Below are 19,120 nucleotides of genomic sequence, written 5' to 3'. Positions count from 1 at the left end.
AAGCGGAGGTTGTGGTGAGCCGAGATTGTGTCACTGCACTCCAGCCTGGGAAACAGAGAGACTCCGTCTCAAAAAAAAAGAGAGAAAAAAAAAACTTTGGCTTTTATCAAGAGGACAAACTGAATAGACCTCATAATTTTCATAAATAATTAGATTAGGCAAAAAAATTTTAACAAAAATAAATAAAAAATAATATTGTATTTTAAGAATGGTATAGAAAGATAATTTGATGAATTAGAGTAGTTAGTACTTAGCACATAAAATATGTTAGGCAAGATTCTAAGCCACTTAGACCTTTATGTACAGAATATGTAACAGAGTAAAATAAATAACACAAAGATTCATTGACAATGACAAATTGACATATTTTCAATCATATTAGATGATATTAAAACCATTAACAAATTTACTGCTTTGTTTCATAATTAAAAAGAATGCTAAATAACTTCATTAAAAAGTTGGACTAATTAGGCATATAGATAAATGGGCAGGATTTGGACCAGAACACAGAGGATACACATTTTCAAAGACCAGACAAAATTATTTACTTATTTTTTGGGGGGGAGAGAACAGTTTTATTATCTGGGGATACAGTGGGGTCCTCTCCCTGGGAGGTGGGTCTTCCACTGGTTATCCCCACCAGGGCTCCAGGGGGCGTCATGAGATTCAGTACTGGGCTCCGCTGGGGGCTGGGCCTTGGAGAAGGCGAACTGTGCAGGGAAGCAGCAGCTGTGGGGTCTTCACCGCCCGCTCTGCCCAGCTGCTCCCGACCTCCTGGTGCTCCTCAGGCTCCCGCCGAGTCTGTGTCTCTGGAGGGCAGCGAACCATCCTGCCCAGAACCTTATCCTCACATTCCAGTTTGACGCAGGTCAGCCATTTCTGCTTCCTCCTCTCAGGCTGGACTTTGCACTTGGCTTTCTTCCAGTCCTTCCAGCCACTTCTCTGTCTGCCGGAGCTTAAATTCCAGCCTCACAAATGTTCCAGATGGGAAGGGCGTGACCAGGGCGCTGTCCACACTGGTCTCCCGGAAGGCCTGCTGCACGGGTGGGTGCTTGCAGATTCCTCCAGGGCCACCTGCAGGCCCCGGCGCTGGCCCGGTGAGCTCGGCCCCTCCCGCATTCCCCGCGCCCACCCACTGGGCCAGCAAGATCCGCAGCCATCTCAGGCTTCCCCTGTCACCCTGGCCCTGCGAAGCTGGTGTGCGCCCCTTAGTTCTCCGAGCCTGCCAGGAGCCACCTCCTCCCCTGCCCTGCCCCTGTGGGGGCCATGCCCGCAGAACGCTGGGCAGAGGCGAAGGAACCGGGAAATGTCCCTTTCTCCACACTGACCTTGGGGTGTACTGGGTCTTCTCCACTCCCTCCCACCTGCCCGTGCTGTTCCCTGGGGCACGCAGTTTCAGCAAAGTTCCCTACCGCGCCGGGAAGCCGTCCTGTTGCTCACTCTCACCCTTCCTGGTTTTCTGGCCCATTCTCTCTCCCCACTGGGTCTCTGACAGGACCTTCTTTCCTCCCGGCTGTCTCCGGAGCCCCTCTCCGCTTCCTCAGCTCAGCCCCTTCTCTGACGGCTTCTCTCTCCCACCCCCAAGCGAATCTCCGGGCTCTCAAGGGGTGCCCCCGATCCCCGGGGCCTAGGTCAACCAGACAAAATTATTTCAAATGGGAAGATGTGAATTCCTTTGAATTCATGAAAGCAGGAATCCATCTGGTCATATTTTAAATAATTTTGAAATGATAATAGCAACTATCAATTTAACCAGAATTCAGAATACCCACCATTTTACCAGAAAAAAAACCTGTTATAACTAAACAACTAAGTCAGTAAATTTTCAGGATACAATATTAACATATGAACATCAGTGGCATTTTTTTACAGTAACAGCAAAATATCTGAAACAGAAATAAAGATAGTTCCATTTACAATATTATCAAATAGAATGAAATACTTAAGAATGAGTTAACAAAGAATATGAAAGATCTGCAGGCTGAAAACTATAAAATGTTGAGGAAAGAAAATGAAAAATACAAAATGGGAAATATATTATGTGTTCATGGATTCTAAAAATTAATATTATTAAAATATCCATATTACACAAAGTGATCTACAGAGTTAAACTTCTATCAAAATTTTAATGCCATTTTATTAAAAATGTAGAACAACAATTTTAAAATTAGTATGGAACCACAAAAGACCTCAAATAGCCAAATACTGAGAAGAACAAAAAGGCTGAAAGCCTTACACTTCCTGATTTCAAACTATATTACAAAGCTGTAGTCATCAATATAGTATAGTACCTACATAAAAACCAATAGAACAGAATAGAGGACCCAGAAATAAACTCACAAATATACAGTCAACCAATCCCAGAGAATGGAGAAAGGATAAACACATCAAGGAGTGGTGTAGGAAAAACTAGATATGCACAGAAAAAAGTGAACCTTTCTCTCATGTCATCACAAAATGAATTTGAAATGAAATAAAGACTTAAACATAATAACTGAAATCATGAATCCTCTTAAAAAATGGGGAAAAACCTTGACACTGGTCATGGCAATGATGTTTTGGATATGACACCAAGAACAGTCAACAAAAGCAAAAATGAACAAGTGGAACTATGTCAAAGTTAAAATTTTCTGCACAACAAAGGAAACAATCAGCAAAATATAAAGGCATTATAGGAAATGGGAGAAAATATTTGTAAACTATATATAGGGTAATATGTTACTATCCAAAATATACATCATACTAATCAATACAAAAAACCCACAGCAGAATTAAAAGCAATTTCTTGATTAATAATTGGGCAAAATATATAAATAGCAATTTTTCCAAAGATATACAAATGGCCAGCAGGTATATAAAAAATGCTCGACATCACTAATTTTCAGAGTAATTAAAAACAAAATCACAATGAGGTATCACCTTATCGTGGTGTTTGGATGCCTATTATCAAAAAGTCAAAAGATAAAAAGTGTTAGGGTGTGGAAAAAGAGAACACTTGTGCACTGTTGCTGAGGATGTCAATTGGTGCAGCTATTATGAAAAACAGTATGGAGGTTCCTTAAAATTTTTAAACTAGAACTACTACTAATCCCAATTAGGAGTATATAGCCAAAGTACATAAAATCAGGATCATCAAGGGTATCTGCACTCCTCTGATACAGATAAACTGAGACATACATAATTTCAGCTTTAATAAAAATGAAACTCTTTCATCCACAACAATATTGATTAATCTTGAAGACATTATGCTAAGTGAAATAAGCCGAATACAGAAAGACAACTACTGCATGATCTCGTTTGTATGTAAAATCTAAAAAAGTAAATAAAAATTTTAAAAAAGCCATGGAAACCGTAGAACCGTGCTTCCCATGGGCTAGGAAGTGGGGAAATTGGGGAGATATCCATGGAAGGGGCACACCTTCAGTTACAAGGTGAGTAACTGCTGGGGACCTAATGTACAGAATAGTGACTATAGTTAACAATACTCCGTACTTGAAATTTGCTACAAGAGTAGATCTCAGGTGCTCTCACCACACACACAGGAACGTATTAACTATGTGAGGGGATAGATAGGCTAACTAGCTTAACTGAGGTAATTTAAAGACTACTGACATCTCCAAACACTCTATTGTACACCCTAAAAATATACGCTTTTCAATTAGTCAATCATAGCTCAACGAATGGAGAAAAAAATAAGAGTAACCAGCAGGTCATAGCTAGCCACATGGAAACTCGATTTAAAACACGCTTGGCCACTGTTTCCAGCTCAACTCGGGAACGGCCGGAGCACTTCTGGCCCCTGGACTTCGACGCTCCTCCTGCGGCCCCCGTGGCTGGGGAAGGTACAGTCGTTCCCAGGATTCCAGGCACGCAGATCCGGCAGGGCCATCACCGTTCCCTTGCTCTTGCCGCAGCCCCGTTAGGCTCTGCGTTTCGGGGCCTCCTGGCCGGGGAGGCTGCCTGTGGCTGCCCGCGCGCCCCTGTGGCTGTGGCTCCGCCGGCCCCCGCTTCGGCCCCACGCAGCCCCTCCAAGGCCGCAGCCGTCTGGCGCCCGAACTCGCGGCCTCTGCCCGTACCCGCCGCCAGCGCCTTCGCTGTGACCGCTCCTCCCCCTCCCCGAGCCCGAGCTGACCCAGCGGAGAAGGAGGGCGGAGAAGCTGGAACCCGAACGCTGAGCTGCAGGCGGCAGGTGCGGGAACAGGAGAAGCTATGGCCTCGCACAGGACGGCTGCTCAGAGCGACACGAGCAACCACCAGGAGCTCTGCACGCAGCTGGAAGAAAAGCTCAGTAATGTACTCTGCTGTGGGAGAAATGGAGATAATAAAAGTCTGATGTAGAAGTACTCACAGAGAACCATGCTCCTTGGTCAATCTCAGATTATTATCAGATCTACTGTAATGATGTTAGTCTTCCAAATAAAGTGAGTGACTGAACTGTCAAATCAGCAAGATCAGGATATTGAAAGTCCTGCTTTGAATTCTAACGACAAGTTATAAATAAAAAAATGATGCTCACCCTGGTACTGATAGGACAGCAAATGTTAAGTGTAGACAGGGTCATTTGCCTCAAATTCACAGGAGCCAGCATCTGCATTAGCAGCACAAGATACGTCCTTAGAAGTTTCGTCATTAGCTGAAAGTTTGAGAGCTGCAGCAGAAGCGGCTTTATCACAGACTGGATTTAGTTATGATGAAAATACTGGACTGTATTTTGACCACAGCACTGGTTTCTATTAAGATTCTGAGAATCAAATATATTATCATTTAATTTATTACTACTGTGATGTGGAAAGTGGTCGCTATCGATTTCATTCTCGAGTAGATTTGCAACCTTATCAGACTTATAGCACAAAACAAAAATGAAAAATTGAGAAAAGAAAGGATCCAGATTCTTCTACAAAAAAACAATGAGGAAAAGGATTTGAATTCAGAGGATCAAGAAGCCTTCAGTGTTGAACATACAAGCTGCAACGGGAAAGACAATTTCACAAATGTGGAAAAAAAAGCTAAAATAGGCATTCATCACAAAAATAATCCCCAAAATTCACTGTTCCAGTTAGTGGAAATCCTATAGAATCTCCTCTTAATGAAAACATCTCAATTCATCTTTAAGGATGAGAAAATCACAGAGACTGATAGTGAACCAGAAGAAGGTGAAATTACGGACTCTCAGACCGAGGGTAGTTATGATGAAGGCATTACCAGTAAAGGCAATGCAACTGCAAAAGATACTGCGGAGGAAGATGAGGAAAAATTGTGGCCCTCATATACGAGAGTAATTGTCATGAGATCACCTGTGTTACAGACAGGATCATTCTTCATCATTACTGCTGTAAAACCTGCTACAATTGGAAGAGAAAATGATATGAAGAATACTCTTCGAATCCCTGAAGTTGGTGTAAGTTTCATGCAGAAATCTGTTTTGACCATGACTTACAAAGTTATGTCCTTTTGGATCAGGCAGTCAAAATGGAACACTTGTTAATGGAAAATGGATTGTTCAGCTGAAAACTAAATGTGACCATTATGAACCTGAGCATGGAGATAAAGTGAAAGTTGGAGACACTGTGTTATCTTATTACATTCACCCTGGCAGTAATAGCTGTGTTGGATGTGAACCAGGGCAGGTTAGAGCTCACCTTTTCCTTGATAAGAAAGATGAATCATTTGTTGGTCCATCATTAACTAAGAAGGAAACGAGTTGGAAAGACGAAAAGGATTTTAAAAATATACGAGTAAAATATGGTTTACAGAATACAGATTACAAAGATGATAAAATACTGGAGAATCAAAAATATAAAGATAGAGCTGGAAAACATAGGGAGCAGATTGGAAGTGAAGGAAATTTCCGAAGAGATGATGCTCCTGCATCTGTTCATTCTGAAATTACTGATAGCGACAAAGGTCAGAAGATGTTGAAAAAGATGTGTTGAAAACAGGAGAAGGCCTGGGGAGGGATGGTGGGAGAATAAAATCTCCAATACAGCTTCAGCTTTGGCAAACACATGCAGGATTGGAGACAGACAAACCATCCTCAGTTAAAGAGACTCACCTTCTCCAAAACAAGAACAACAACAACTGGGACAAAGCTCAGGAGAGGTTTGCTGAAAACTTTCCAGAAACTAAACTTCCAAAAGATGACCTAGGAACCATTCCTTGGGTAAAAGGGACTGAGGAGTGAAGGTTAATCACAGAAGAAAACTCAAGCTTTTTTTATAAATAGAGTTTGGAAACTCTTATTTTATTGCAGAATGTTTCTCCCCAAAAAAGTCAGTGGTATAAGAAAGCTGGGTCACAGTTTACCCCTTCCTGATTCAGAAATGTGTAATAAAATGTGGTTTACAGCTTTTAAAAAACACTTTTTAAACTAATTATTAGTGACAGAATTAAGTTATACAGTAAGTGAACTAAAGTTCACAGGGTACAGATAAGTTTATCAAACTTTACTATTTTATCTGGTCATTTACAACATCCATATAAGCAATTAGCCATATAAGCAAAATTCATATAACCACTTAAATGCTCATTTGTCCTTGTCTCCATATATTCATAGTAGTATGCACAGAAAATACAGCAAAAGAAACATCTAAAATCTATAAAAATAAATCTGACAATGTACATTCTTTTTTATGTCCTTCAGGACCTAGATAAAAAATGTTGAGACAACATGAATAGTGATGCATACATTTTATTATATTTGGGATAGCCTAAATCATATTAAAGAACTAATGAACAGGTGACATGTCACAGAAAATTCGTCTTTTATTGTTTTCTTTGGTGAAGAATCTGCATTTGTTGATATATACTGTACATTCAGCATTTGTATTTGGTTTGTTTCATAGCTAATGAAATGTTTATACATGAAAAAATGAGTACAGTATTGAAATAGTCCATGTGCTGGCATTCATACTTTTTATAAATACCATTGCAGGCAATGAAAAGTTGTGCCAGAAAAATCTGATTTTGAGTACAAAAGGAATACTTAGCCAGGGCCTCGAGCTCAATATATTTATTGAAAATGTCCTAAATTGCCATAAAACATTATAACCTTAAATTACTCATTTCAATAAATTATGAATTAAACAAAAAATACAAATGATGTCTTTTATGGATCAGAGAAGTACTAATGGGACAGAATGGCCATTGAAGCCAAAAGGTCTGAATTCAGGTAGATAATTTTACTCATATTAGTTTTATGTTAGAGAAAACAATACTTCTAACCATATACTATTTATTGCAGTGGAGTATTTCAAAAATATGTACATAATATATAATTAATTTTCTAATGGTATAAAAGTAATCACACTCTACAAATTATTACAGTATGGTCTATTGATGAGAGGGTGTTTCAAATGAAAAAAACTTGGAATTTCTCATGGTGATAGATGCCATAGAAAATCTATGTAAAATATTTCACTCATATATGCAATTATTGATATTTCTGCTTTTCAGAAAAATAATATACTTTAAACACTTAATGCAGACAATTAAAATCACCAAGAAGTTACAAGAATTCACAGAATGCCCAATATAGTTGAAAGGAAATTAAGAAAACCTCCCAGGACTGGAAGTAAATAAAGGTAATGATCCAGAGAAGTAATCAACCTAAGAGGCCAGGGCACCACTCAGACGCATCTGATTACAAGAACATCAAGTCCATGTGGGTTGTTCCCTTCTGACGAGGCAAATGGAATAAACAAAGAGAAACTGCCTGCAGGCATTGGAATGCGGTGTCTCCCATATATGAGGATTAAATTATAAATTATGTTGCACACAAGGAGATGAGCTACTGAGGTGAAGCATCAGAAGAAATTATATGGCACATAAATCTCAGATATTGAATTTATATTTAAATGTTTAAGTCAATATAATGGAAAAACAAGAAACCAAAATAATGTGGAAAGAAACTACGAGCTTGTCAAGCTATCTTTGGAAACGAGGCAAATGAAAAGTAAAGTATTGAAAGTGTTGTAAAACAATTTAATGTACAACATACAAATTACATGTTAAAATAGGCTGGGCCAAAAAGAGGGCTAGTAAAGTGAAATGCTGATCACAATTAATGTAGTCATATATGTTATAGAAGGCAAATTAATAGAAAATATAAATATATTTATATATGAAGATTAGATTGAGAAGAAATAAAAAGCATTTAATTGTTTTACCAGACTCTCTAAATAGGAAGGCAACAAAGAATCAGTGACTCGTAAGTTTCAGAAATTAGAAACCAGACATGAAACCTTTAAAAGCTTAGGGTGTAATATATGAAAAAAAAGGTAAATTAAGAAATACTTAGAAGAAATAGTGGTTTGGGTTATTTTGAATACTGCTTAATAAGCATGAGAGTGCAGTTCTCTTTTTTGATGTGCTTAATTTGTTTCCTTTTGATATAAACCCAGCAATGAGATTGCTGGATCATATGGTAGTTCTATTTATAATTTATTGAAAAACCTCCATACTGTTCTCCCTATAGAAATGGGAAATGATTGTACTAACTTACATTCCTACCAACAGTGTATAAGTGCCCATCTACAGAATGAATAAAGAAAATGTTATACACACACACACACACACACACACAGGAATAATGTTCAGTCATAAAACAGAATGAAGTTCTGTCATTTTTGTCAACATGGATGAGCCTAGAGGACATTATGTTAAGTGGAATAAGCCAGGCACAGAAAGAAAAAGACCACGTGCTTTCACTCACTTGAAATCTGAAGAAGTCCATGTCATAGAAGTAGACAGTAGGATGGTGGTTACCAGAGGTTAGTGATGGCAGAAGGATGAGGGAGTGGGGAGAGCTTTGTCACTGGGTTACAAAGTTACAGTTAGGAAGAATAAATCCTGGTGTTCTATTACACAGCATGATGACTATAGCTAATAATAATGTACCTTTTATTCTATAATAGCTTGAATTGAGGATTTTGAACTTTATTAGCACAAGGAAATAAATGTTTGAAGTGTTAAATATGCTAATTACTCTGGTTGGATCACTGTACAGTGTATGTGGTACAGTGTGATGAAGTGAAACATCATATAATTAACATAATTGTCCACGTTTGTGGAGTACAATGTGATGTTTCACTGCATCTCACTGTACCGTGTAGTATGATGCAGTGAAGTATCACGTAATTAACACATGATAGTTACATATGTTTACAGAGTACAATGTGATGTTTCACTGCATCTCACTGTACCATATAGTATGACGCAGTGAAACATCACACTGTGCCCCATAAATATTACTGGTTCAGCAGGGAACTGTGGGACACAGAGCAGCTCCAGGTTAGCCATGACCAGCAGCTTCACCTGTGTGGGGTAGCAAGAGGGGAAGGGCCCTGTGCTTGGCTGAGAGTTGACCCCTGACCCCATCCACTTTGACTGCTAGGTGCCAGCAGAGGTCAGAGACCCCTAACTTCAGGCAGAGGCAGGAAGCAACGTCATTGCCTCTTTTTTTTGGGTGGGGGGGGAATCTCACTCTATCGCCCAGGCTGGAGTGCAGTGGTGCGATCTCGGCTCACTGCAATGTACATAGAGGTGTACGTCAGAATCACACCTGCAGGAAGATCCCTGGGTGAGATTAACAATCCCACATAGAAGTGTACGTCAGAATCACACCTGCAGGAAGTTCTCTGGGTGAGATTAACAATCCCACATAGAGGTGTACGTCAGAATCACACCTGCAGTAAGGTCCCTGGGTGAGATTAACAATCCCACGTAAGTGCCAGTTCTGGGTATGAGAGTCAAGGCCTCCTGTATGTTGGGTCCATGTACATAAGTCACAATCTCAATGGTGGAATGGATTTTTCCATGAGAGGCTTAATGCCTTTCGAAAATTGAGTTATCTTAGTGGAGTCACAGCCTCACAAGTGTTTTGGATCTTGTTCAGGGATTCACAAACCCACTTGTGGACAACATCCACTTATGAGAGCCAACTTTCCAACTTTTGACTGCCTCTGGGTGTGAGATTCAGAACCTCAATTATGGGTTGTGTCCATGTGGGAGAATGACAATTTTTACTGATGGCTGGGCTCAGGAAGGAGCCTTTCATCCTGCAGGTGTTGAGATAAATGATATGTCACAATACCCAAAATATGTCGGTGCAGGCAAAAGATGAGAGTCATATTAGCTGGTTGCTAGGTCCAGTTATATTTCACCACCTCTGTTTTTGGCAGGGCTAAGGCAGAAGAGGAGAGTCAGAGCTAAAGAAATGTCACAATGTCCCTGTGGGTAGGGCCTATGCGTAAGAATTGCATCATCTAGTCATTGAACCCAGCCATATATTACAATACACAATGTATACAGGGCCCAGGCAAGAAAGGAGAGCATATCACATAGGTACTGGGTCCAGCAATGTGTCACAATACCCCCTGAGGGGAGGCTCCAGGCAACAGGGTAACATTACCTAAGTGAAGTGCGCAGAGAGATGTTTCAATGCCCCTGGTGAGTAGGATTTTGAAAAAGGAGAAGTTACATAACCTAGGGGACAGGCCTAGCTGTGTGTCACATTCATCTCCAAGATGGAGCCCAGACATGAGAGAAAAGTCACATCATGTAGGTACTGGGCAAAGTAATATGTCATAATCCTTACTGTGAGCAGGCCCTAGGAAGAACTAGAGAGTCACATAGTCTAGATGATGGGCCCAGAGGTATTTGACAATGACTCCTGTAGGTAGGGACCATGCAGAAGAATCACTTCACCTGTGTGCTGTGCCCAGTTATAAGTCACACTTCCCTTTGTGGGCATGACCGAGGCAGGGAGAAGAGTCACATCATCCTGGTGCTTGGCCCAAAGATATGTCACAATCTCTCTTATAGGCAATGCTCATGTAAGAGAGGAGAGTCACATCAAATAGGTAGTGGACACAGAGGTATGTCACAAGGCCTTCTGTGAACTTGATCCAGGCAGAAGATTCACATCAACTTGGTGCTAAGCCCAAGTTGTCACAATCTCTTCTGTGTAAAGGGACCAGACAGGAAAAGAGAATCACATTACCTGGCCAGTGAGCACAGAGATCTGTCACAATGCCCCTTGCAGTCAGGGCCCAGGCAGAGGAGTTACATCACCTGGGTAGTGGACCCAGCAATATACCACAGTGTCCCATATAGGCACAAGCTGGAGAGTCACATAACCTGGGTGCCAGGCCATGCTATATAGAACAATGCTTCCTGTGGGCAGGCTAAGGTGGAAGAGGAGACTCACATCACCTGGGTGCACGGTCTAGCAATATGTCAAAATGCTCACTGTGGGCAGTGCCAAGGAAGGAGAATACAGTTGCACCCTCAAGGTGGTGGATCCAGCAATATGTTAATATCCCATCTGTGGGCTGGGTCCATGCAAGAGCGTCAAGTCACTCAGGTGCTAGGCACTGGGAAATTTCATCATGAAACCTGCAGAATGGTCCGGGAATAAGATTAACAATCCCACAACTGTCACAGTTGTAGGCATGACATTCAACACCTCTTGTATGTTGGGTCTAAGCCCACAAGTAACCATCTCAACACCAGACTGGATTTGTGCATGAGAGCCTCAATTCCTCTGCAGACTGTGTCACCTTAGTGAAGTCACAGCCTCACAGTTGTGCTGAATCTTGGTCTGAGAGTCACCAACCCATGGATATATATGGACATATATATCCATATATAAGTCAATTTTTCCCACCTTTGGCTGACTACAGGTGTGAGATTCAGCACCTCAACAGTGACCTGTGTTCCTGTGAGAGGATGAGAATATTTACTGTTGGCTGGGTGTGCATATGAGTTCCACAGTCTCACCTGTGTGCTCGACCCAGTTAGCACTCTCTGTGTACTACCCAATGGCGCTATACAGTATGAATGACAGTTGCAATCAACTTTGAGACCTTCCTGCTGGTAGGGACCCATGATCATAGCTGTGGCATTAAGCCCGGGTATGAGAGTCAACGTCATTACAATTAACTAGGTCAGGATAGGGGAGTCCTCCCTTGCCTATAAGCTGCGTTTATAAATGAGCCACCATTTCATCTCTGGTTGAATATTTATACATGAACACGGGCCTAGCACCAAGAAGATGTGAGTCTTTGGCCTAGCAGGAGGCAACGTGACATGTCTCTCTGCCTAACAACTATTTGATGTGAACTGCTTTTTCACCTGAGGTTTTCCCATAAAAGAGACGTGATATATGTCTAGACCCAGAACCTAGGTGATGTGGCTTTCCTTTTTTGACTAAGCCCTGTGTATTTTGGGTATTCTGACATATCCCTGCACCTAACATCTGGAAGATAAGAAGATCCAGCATGGGCCCTGCCTAAAAAGTTTTTGTGACATATTTCTACATTAGTACCTTGGAGATGTGACTCTCCTCTCTTTCCTGGGCTTTGCCCATAAGAGATATTGTTATGTACCTCTGCAGCAAGCACCTAAATGCTGTGACTCTTCTTTCTTGCCTGGGTCGTTCCCACAGATGAAAGTGTGGTTTATCGCTGTATCCAGCACAACCGTTATGTGATTATTCTGCCTGATCTCTGCTCACAGGAGCCATTGTGACATATCCCTGGGCCAGAAACTAATATGACTCTCCTCTATCCCCTTAACTTTGTGCATAGGATAAATTGTGATGTATCTCTGGGTCCAGCACCTAGGTGATGTGACTCCTTTTCTGCATGGACTATGCCCACAGGAAGGAGGCTGATTTATTGCTGTGTTGAGAGCTGATGTAATACCTCGGTCCTTGTCTTCTTAGTTTATAATAGTTTAAACAAGAGACACACAGAAAAGAAGTACAGCATAATTTATTGGAAAAGAAAACAAATTTGAAAGTTAAGTGCAGAATACAGTACACCATGAGAGAGATATTCCAGGGCGGGCTGCTCATAAGAGTGAGACAACGTGGATTGTCGCTAGAGAAACCCCCTTATGGGAGTTTTATATTATTATTAATAATGAGGGGGGAAGAGGAGCTGCTAGTAAGCCTGTTCTGAGTGGTCTTCTGGGTGCACATGTGCAGTAGCTGTACATGCTTACTCATATTTTGCATGTCTCATTAGCATCTTAGACCTCTAGCCAGGAGTGTATTTTTGTTTGTTTGCTTGAGACAGAGTCTCGCTCTGTTGCCCAGGCTGGAGTGTGGTGGTGCAATCTCTGCTCACTGCAACCTCTCCCTCCCAAGTTCAAGCCATTCTCGTGCCTCAGCCTCCTGAGTAGCTGGGATTACAGGCATGCACCACCATACCTGGCTAATTTTTGTATTTTTAGTTGAGATGGGCTTTCACTATGTTGGCCAGTCTAGTCTTGAGCTTCTGGTTTCAAGTGATCCATTCTTCTCAGCCTCCCAAAGTGCTGGGAGTACAGGTGTGAGCCACCGTACCCAGCTGGGGAGTGTATTTTTTGCTATTAAAATAAGCAAAAGTTAAGTTTGAGGACAGGTAAAATCAAAATGCACATGCTCTCTAGAACAGAAAGTCCTTAATGAAGATAGCTTTGCTTGAATGAGCCCAATTACAATGTGAATGCTAAGGCTCGTTGTCTTGGCTGTACAGTTACCACAGTTTCAATGAATGGGTGGCCTGCCCCTCCACACCTGTGGTTGTTTCTCATCAGGTGGAATGAGAGACTGAGAAAAGAAAGAGACACAGAGACAAAGTATAGAGAAAGAAAAGTGAGCCCAGGGGACTGGCGCTCAGCATACAGAGGACCCACGCTGGCACTGGTCTGAGTTCCCTCAGTATTTATTGATCACTATTTCTACCATCTTGGAGAGGGGGATGTGGCAGGACAATAGGGTAATAGTTGGGAGAGGGTCAGCAGGAAAACATGTGAACAAATGTCTCTGTGTCATAAATAAAGTTAGAAAAGTTGCTGTGCCTTGATGTGCATGTATACAAACATCTCGGTGCATTAAAAACAGTATTGCCATCAGCATGTCTCAACTCCAGCCCTAGGGCAGTTTTCTCCTATCTCAGTAAATAGAACATACAATCAGGTTTTACAGCGAGATATTCCATTGCCCAAGGATGAGCAGGAGACAGATGCCTTCCTCTTATCTCAGCTGCAAATAGGCCTTCCTCTTTTACTAATCCTCCTCAGCACAGACCCTTTATGGGTGTCAGGCTGGGGGATGGTCAAGTCTTTACCTTCCCAGGAGGCCATATTTCAGACTATCACATGGGGAGAAACCTTGGACAATACCTGGCTTTCCTAGGCACAGGTCCCTGCGGCCTTCCACAGTGTATTGTGTCCCTGGGTACTTGAGATTAGAGAGTGGTGATGAATTTTAACAAGCATACTGCCTTCAAGCACTTTTTTAACAAAGCACATTCTGCATAGCCCTAAATCCATTAAACCTTGAGTTGACACAGCACAAGTCTCTGTGAGCATGGGGTTGGGGCTAGGGTTACAGATTAACAGCATCTCAAGGCAGAAGAATTTTTCTTAGTACAGAGCAAAATGGAGTCTCTTATGTCTACTTCTTTCTACATAGACACAGTAACAGTCTGATCTCTCTTTCTTTTCCCCACATTTCTGTATCCCGAGATCATGGTCATTTTCTTGACTATCTATTCTGATCTATTCTGCCTCAGCTTCCCCCTAAGAGATCTTAGGGTCATAATCATATTGGAGGTTGAGGGGCTAGGTTACTTTTTCTGGAGCTATTTCCTGCTGAGTGGGTGTTATTTCTGCCTAGTCTGGGCCCTAAAGTTTCTTCCTGTGTGATCTAACTGGCTGTAAACCATGTAATTCGTGGAACCAGTGGGGAAGATGTTGGCAGCCAAATGTTGAAAGCCTTGCAAAACCATCATGCAAACATGGAGTTGCTGTAAGCAAGAGAGCAAGAAATCAGTTCACATTTTAAACAACATTGGAACAAAAGTAAAACCTGAAATTATAGTAATGGCTGTTACTATTAAAGAGAGTAAGGCAGGTAATAGACATTGCTTTCATGGTCCCATGGAAGTTCCTAGAGATTCAATTTTGTCTGCCTGGGTGATGATATTATTAATATTTTCTTGGACTAAACCGGGCTGATTGATCTCAAAAACAGCATTCTTCTTTTAGATATAAACATGTTCCTCTTTGCCTGGCTGGGAGAAGATCCCAGGCTCTTTGCTTTTGTCGGACTACAGTGGCCATGGAGTCCAGACGTTGTTGAAGTCTATTGAGGCCCTCTGCTGCTTGTTGTGGACCCATTGAGGTTTTCTGAGATAGTTTATACTGGATTCCCAAGGCTCCACCTTATGGTGACATTTATGCTGCAAAAGTATTTTGCATTAAAATGGTGAAAGCAACAAACGTTTTAAGTATTTTCTATTTTTTGCTAATAGGCAAAATTTTGTGCAGCTAAGTTGGCAGCAGTCATTCGGTCCATTTCTGGATGGTACAGTTGAATGGTGGTCAAAGTTAGAGCCTGGAAGCCTTCAGTTAATGCGCTGAAGTTGTCTGAGGGCCATCAAAGTTGTTGCTTATATTGGATGAGATCGTTTATTGAGAGTAGAACAAGCACTCTGATGATCCTCTCTCCATTTGGGACTTTCTTTAAGGGGAGCAATTTCTCTGGCCCTGGATGGTGTGAAGTCCCACTGTGAGTAACTGCAGCTGGGCTGGTCTCTATTGTACCTGGCAAAGGCCGATAGAAAGGAGCATAAGGAGGAGGTGAAACAAGCTTAGATTCTACAGAAGACTCTGATAGTGTGGGGATGCTGTAGCCCATCTGTGGCTCTGAGCCACTGGCAAGCTAGGCCTGACTTGAGATGAGACCAATTATTTCAAGTGTAAAATGCCTAAATAGTCAGTAGCTTCAGGTTGCATTTTGGAGCTTGTCCACTTAAGTGGGTTGATGAAAATGGCTCACAAGGCTCACGCCTCAGAAATGGGGTTTTTCCTTTGCTCTTAGCAGATTTTATGCAACCCAATAATTAACCTTTCTGATGCCTAGACTTTCACATTCGTGAAAAAGGCGCCATTGAGAGTGACCTTTCCAGGAAGCCACAGCCTTTGTCACCCCTGCAGAGCTCTGAAGCTGCTCACAAGCAGGCCAGGTGGAAGATTTTTCTCAAAAACGGTTGAGTGTGTGCTCTGGCTAGAGAAAAAAGAGGGCTGCGGCACAACGGACAGTGTCTTGGACATCAGGAAAGTTCTCACGCAGTTTAGGAAAGAAGGCAGCACCCTGGGCTGCAGAAGACGTACTGCTCTGGAAAGAACCCTGGGTGCAACTGAAAGAGGAACCTGAGAAGGATAGGGCCAAGTGGGTGAGGACAACCCACCCGATTTGGGAAAAGGTAAGGTATCTTTGTAGGGTAATACCCTCCTCAATGCTCAGCCCAGACCTGCCCTCCAGGTGCACCTCTGTAGTCACTCTCCTTGCAAAGAGTCGGCATAGCATCAGAACTCAGCAGTGCTTTGGACACCGGGAAGTCCACACCGCTCTGCCCCTCCCTCCAGGGCTATGGACCCCGGATCCCGGTACATGCTGGGATTATAGCTCTGAAGCTTACCGACAAACAGGCTGAGAGTAGTTAATGGACTACAGCTCCCAGCATATTAGGTGGGGCGGGAACCACTCTGCCCCTTCTTCCAGGGCTGTGCCTTGCCCTGGAGCCTGGTGCATGCTGGGATTGTAGTCCTGTAGCCCTTTGACCAAAGGGTTGGGAGTGTTTATGAGAATGCATCTTCCAACAATCCTAGGGAGGCGCGCACAGCCCTGCCTCTTCCTCCAGTGACGCGCACTTTCCCGGAGCCCAGTGCATGCTAGAATTGTAGTGCTGCAGCCCTGTGACCAAAGGGCTGGGAGTGTTTATGAGACTGCATCTCCCAGCAAGACCAGCGAGACGCGTGGAGCCTCGTCCCTTCCTCCAGTGATTAGCGCACTCTCCCTGAGCCTGGTGCATGCTGGGATTGCAGTGCTGCAGCCCTGTGACCAAAGAGCTTTGTTATAGTTATCTGTGAAGTGTTCAACAAACTACTTTACTTCATTATTACTGGACGCCAGAAGCTCAGTTGTGTTCACTTTTTGGATTTTATATAAGTGAGATTGTGTAATATGTATACTTTTACATCTACTTTCTTCTATGCAACATTATATTTATGATATTAATTCATGATATTGCAGATAGCTATAGTTTAATTAAAAATTATTTTTTACATTGTGGTAAAGTATACATAAAATTAACCATTTTAGCTATTTTAAGTGTGCAGCTCAGAAAAATTAACTACTTTCACATAGTTTTGCAACTGTCATTACCACTCATAGGGACCTTCTTTCAACTTGCAGAAACAAAACTCTATACCCATTAAATAAGCTCCTTGTTACTCCCCCTCTAGCTCCTAGGAACCACTCTTCTATTTGGGTATCTAGAATTTAACTACTCTAAGTATCTCATAAGTGGAATGATTCAGTATTTGTCCTTTTATGACTGGCTCATGTCACTTTGGACAATGTCCTTAACGTTCATGCATGACGTACCATGTGTCAGAATTTCCTTATTTTACGTAGCTGAATAACATTCCACTGTATGTATAAATCACATTTTATCTATTAATCATTGATGGTAATTCAAACAACATTTGAGTAATTCAAACACCTTTTTGGTGATGTGAGTAATGCTGCTATGAACCTAGGTGTATGTGTATTATTTTGTGTCTTTGCTTTCATATCTTTTGCTGCATACCCAGATGTGAAATTGCTGGATTGTATGGTGATTTTATGTGTAAATTTTTTAGTTACTGTGTTGTTATTTTATATCAGCTGCAGCATTTTACATTTCCACCAACAGTGTACAAGGATTCTAATTGCTCCACGTCCTCACCAACACTTCTGATTTTCTGTTTTTTTTTCTTTTGTTAGTAGTTATGCTGATGGATGTTAAGTGATATGTCATTTGGGGTTAGATTTGCATTTCACTAATGATGAGTTTTGTTGAGCGTCTTTTCATGTGCTTATAAGCCACTTTACATAATTTTTAGAGAAATGTCTGCTTAAGTTTTTGCCAATATTTTAAACAAGTAGTTTGTTTTATTGTTGCTGAATTGTTCTTTGTATATTCTGTATAGATTCCTATTCGTCTATTTTTCTTTTGTTTCTTGTGTTTTGGGTGTCCTGTTTAAAAAAGAAAACTGCCAAATCCAGTGTTATGACGTGTTTCCCCTATATTTTATTCTAAGAATTTTGTAGTTTTAGCTCTTACATTTAGGTATTTGATCCAGTTAGTTAATTTTTTCTTACAGTATAAGTGAAGGGCCCAGGTTCATTCTTTTACATGTGGGTATATAATTTCCCCAGCACCAATTGTTGTGAAGACAGTTCTTGGCTGGGCGCAATGGCTCACGCCTGTAATCCCAGCACTTTGGGAGGCCGAGGCGGGCGGATCATGAGGTCAGGAGATCAAGACCATCCTGGCTAGCAAGGTGTCCGCTGTGCTCCTGATCCAGCGAGGCACCCATTGCCACTCCCAATAGGGCTAAAGGCTCGCCATTGTTCCTGCATGGCTAAGTGCCTGGGTTCATCCTAATCAAGCTGAACACTAGTCACTGGGTTCCACGGTTCTCTTCCGTGACCCACAGCTTCTAATAGAGCTTTAACACTCACCGCATGGCTCAAGATTCCATTCCTTGGAATCCGTGAGGCCAAGAGCCCCAGGTCAGAGAACAGGAGGCTTGCCACCATCTTGGAAGTGGCCTGCCAAAATTATGGAAGTGGCCTGCCACCATCTTGGGAGCTCTGGGAGCAAGGACCGCCCCATGGTAACAGCACTTAACTATGCGTCCCCAAGGACCTACAGATCACAGGGCAATAGGGGCTGTGAGGGAGTTGTCTGGATTTCCCAAGGTGGAGGAGGCCAAAGAAGAGATGGATCCCAGGCTCCTGCACCAGCATCAGCGAGAGACAAAGGCCCCGCCAAACGCCAGAAGCCACGCCCTCCTCTCTTCTCAAACTGCGCACCTTATTGGGTGGTTCCCACACAAGCGCCACTGATTGAATAAAACGCCAGGACCCACCCACCCGCGCCTCACCCCAGCCCCTACCCCACTCACCCTGAGCGTTAGTGCATTTTTGTTTGTTTCTTTGTTTTTCAAGTTTTGGGATACATGTGCAGAACGTGCAGGTTTGTTACAGAGGTTTACATGTGCCATGGTGGTTTTCTGC

General features: G+C 42.2%; 2 pseudogenes; one reads left to right on the top strand and one right to left on the bottom strand.

Moving 5' to 3' along the window:
- Positions 1-578: 578 nt before the first annotated feature.
- LOC102723333 (retinoic acid receptor responder protein 2-like) lies at positions 579-1,468 on the bottom strand (annotated as a pseudogene).
- A 2,256-nt stretch (positions 1,469-3,724) lies between these two features.
- LOC102723312 (angiogenic factor with G patch and FHA domains 1-like) lies at positions 3,725-6,287 on the top strand (annotated as a pseudogene).
- The last annotated feature ends 12,833 nt before the right edge of the window (positions 6,288-19,120 follow it).

Source organism: Homo sapiens, assembly GCF_000001405.40.
Source record: "Homo sapiens chromosome 14 unlocalized genomic scaffold, GRCh38.p14 Primary Assembly HSCHR14_CTG6_UNLOCALIZED".
NCBI classification, from domain to species: Eukaryota; Metazoa; Chordata; class Mammalia; order Primates; family Hominidae; genus Homo; species Homo sapiens.
This window is presented reverse-complemented; position numbering and strand designations above follow the sequence as displayed.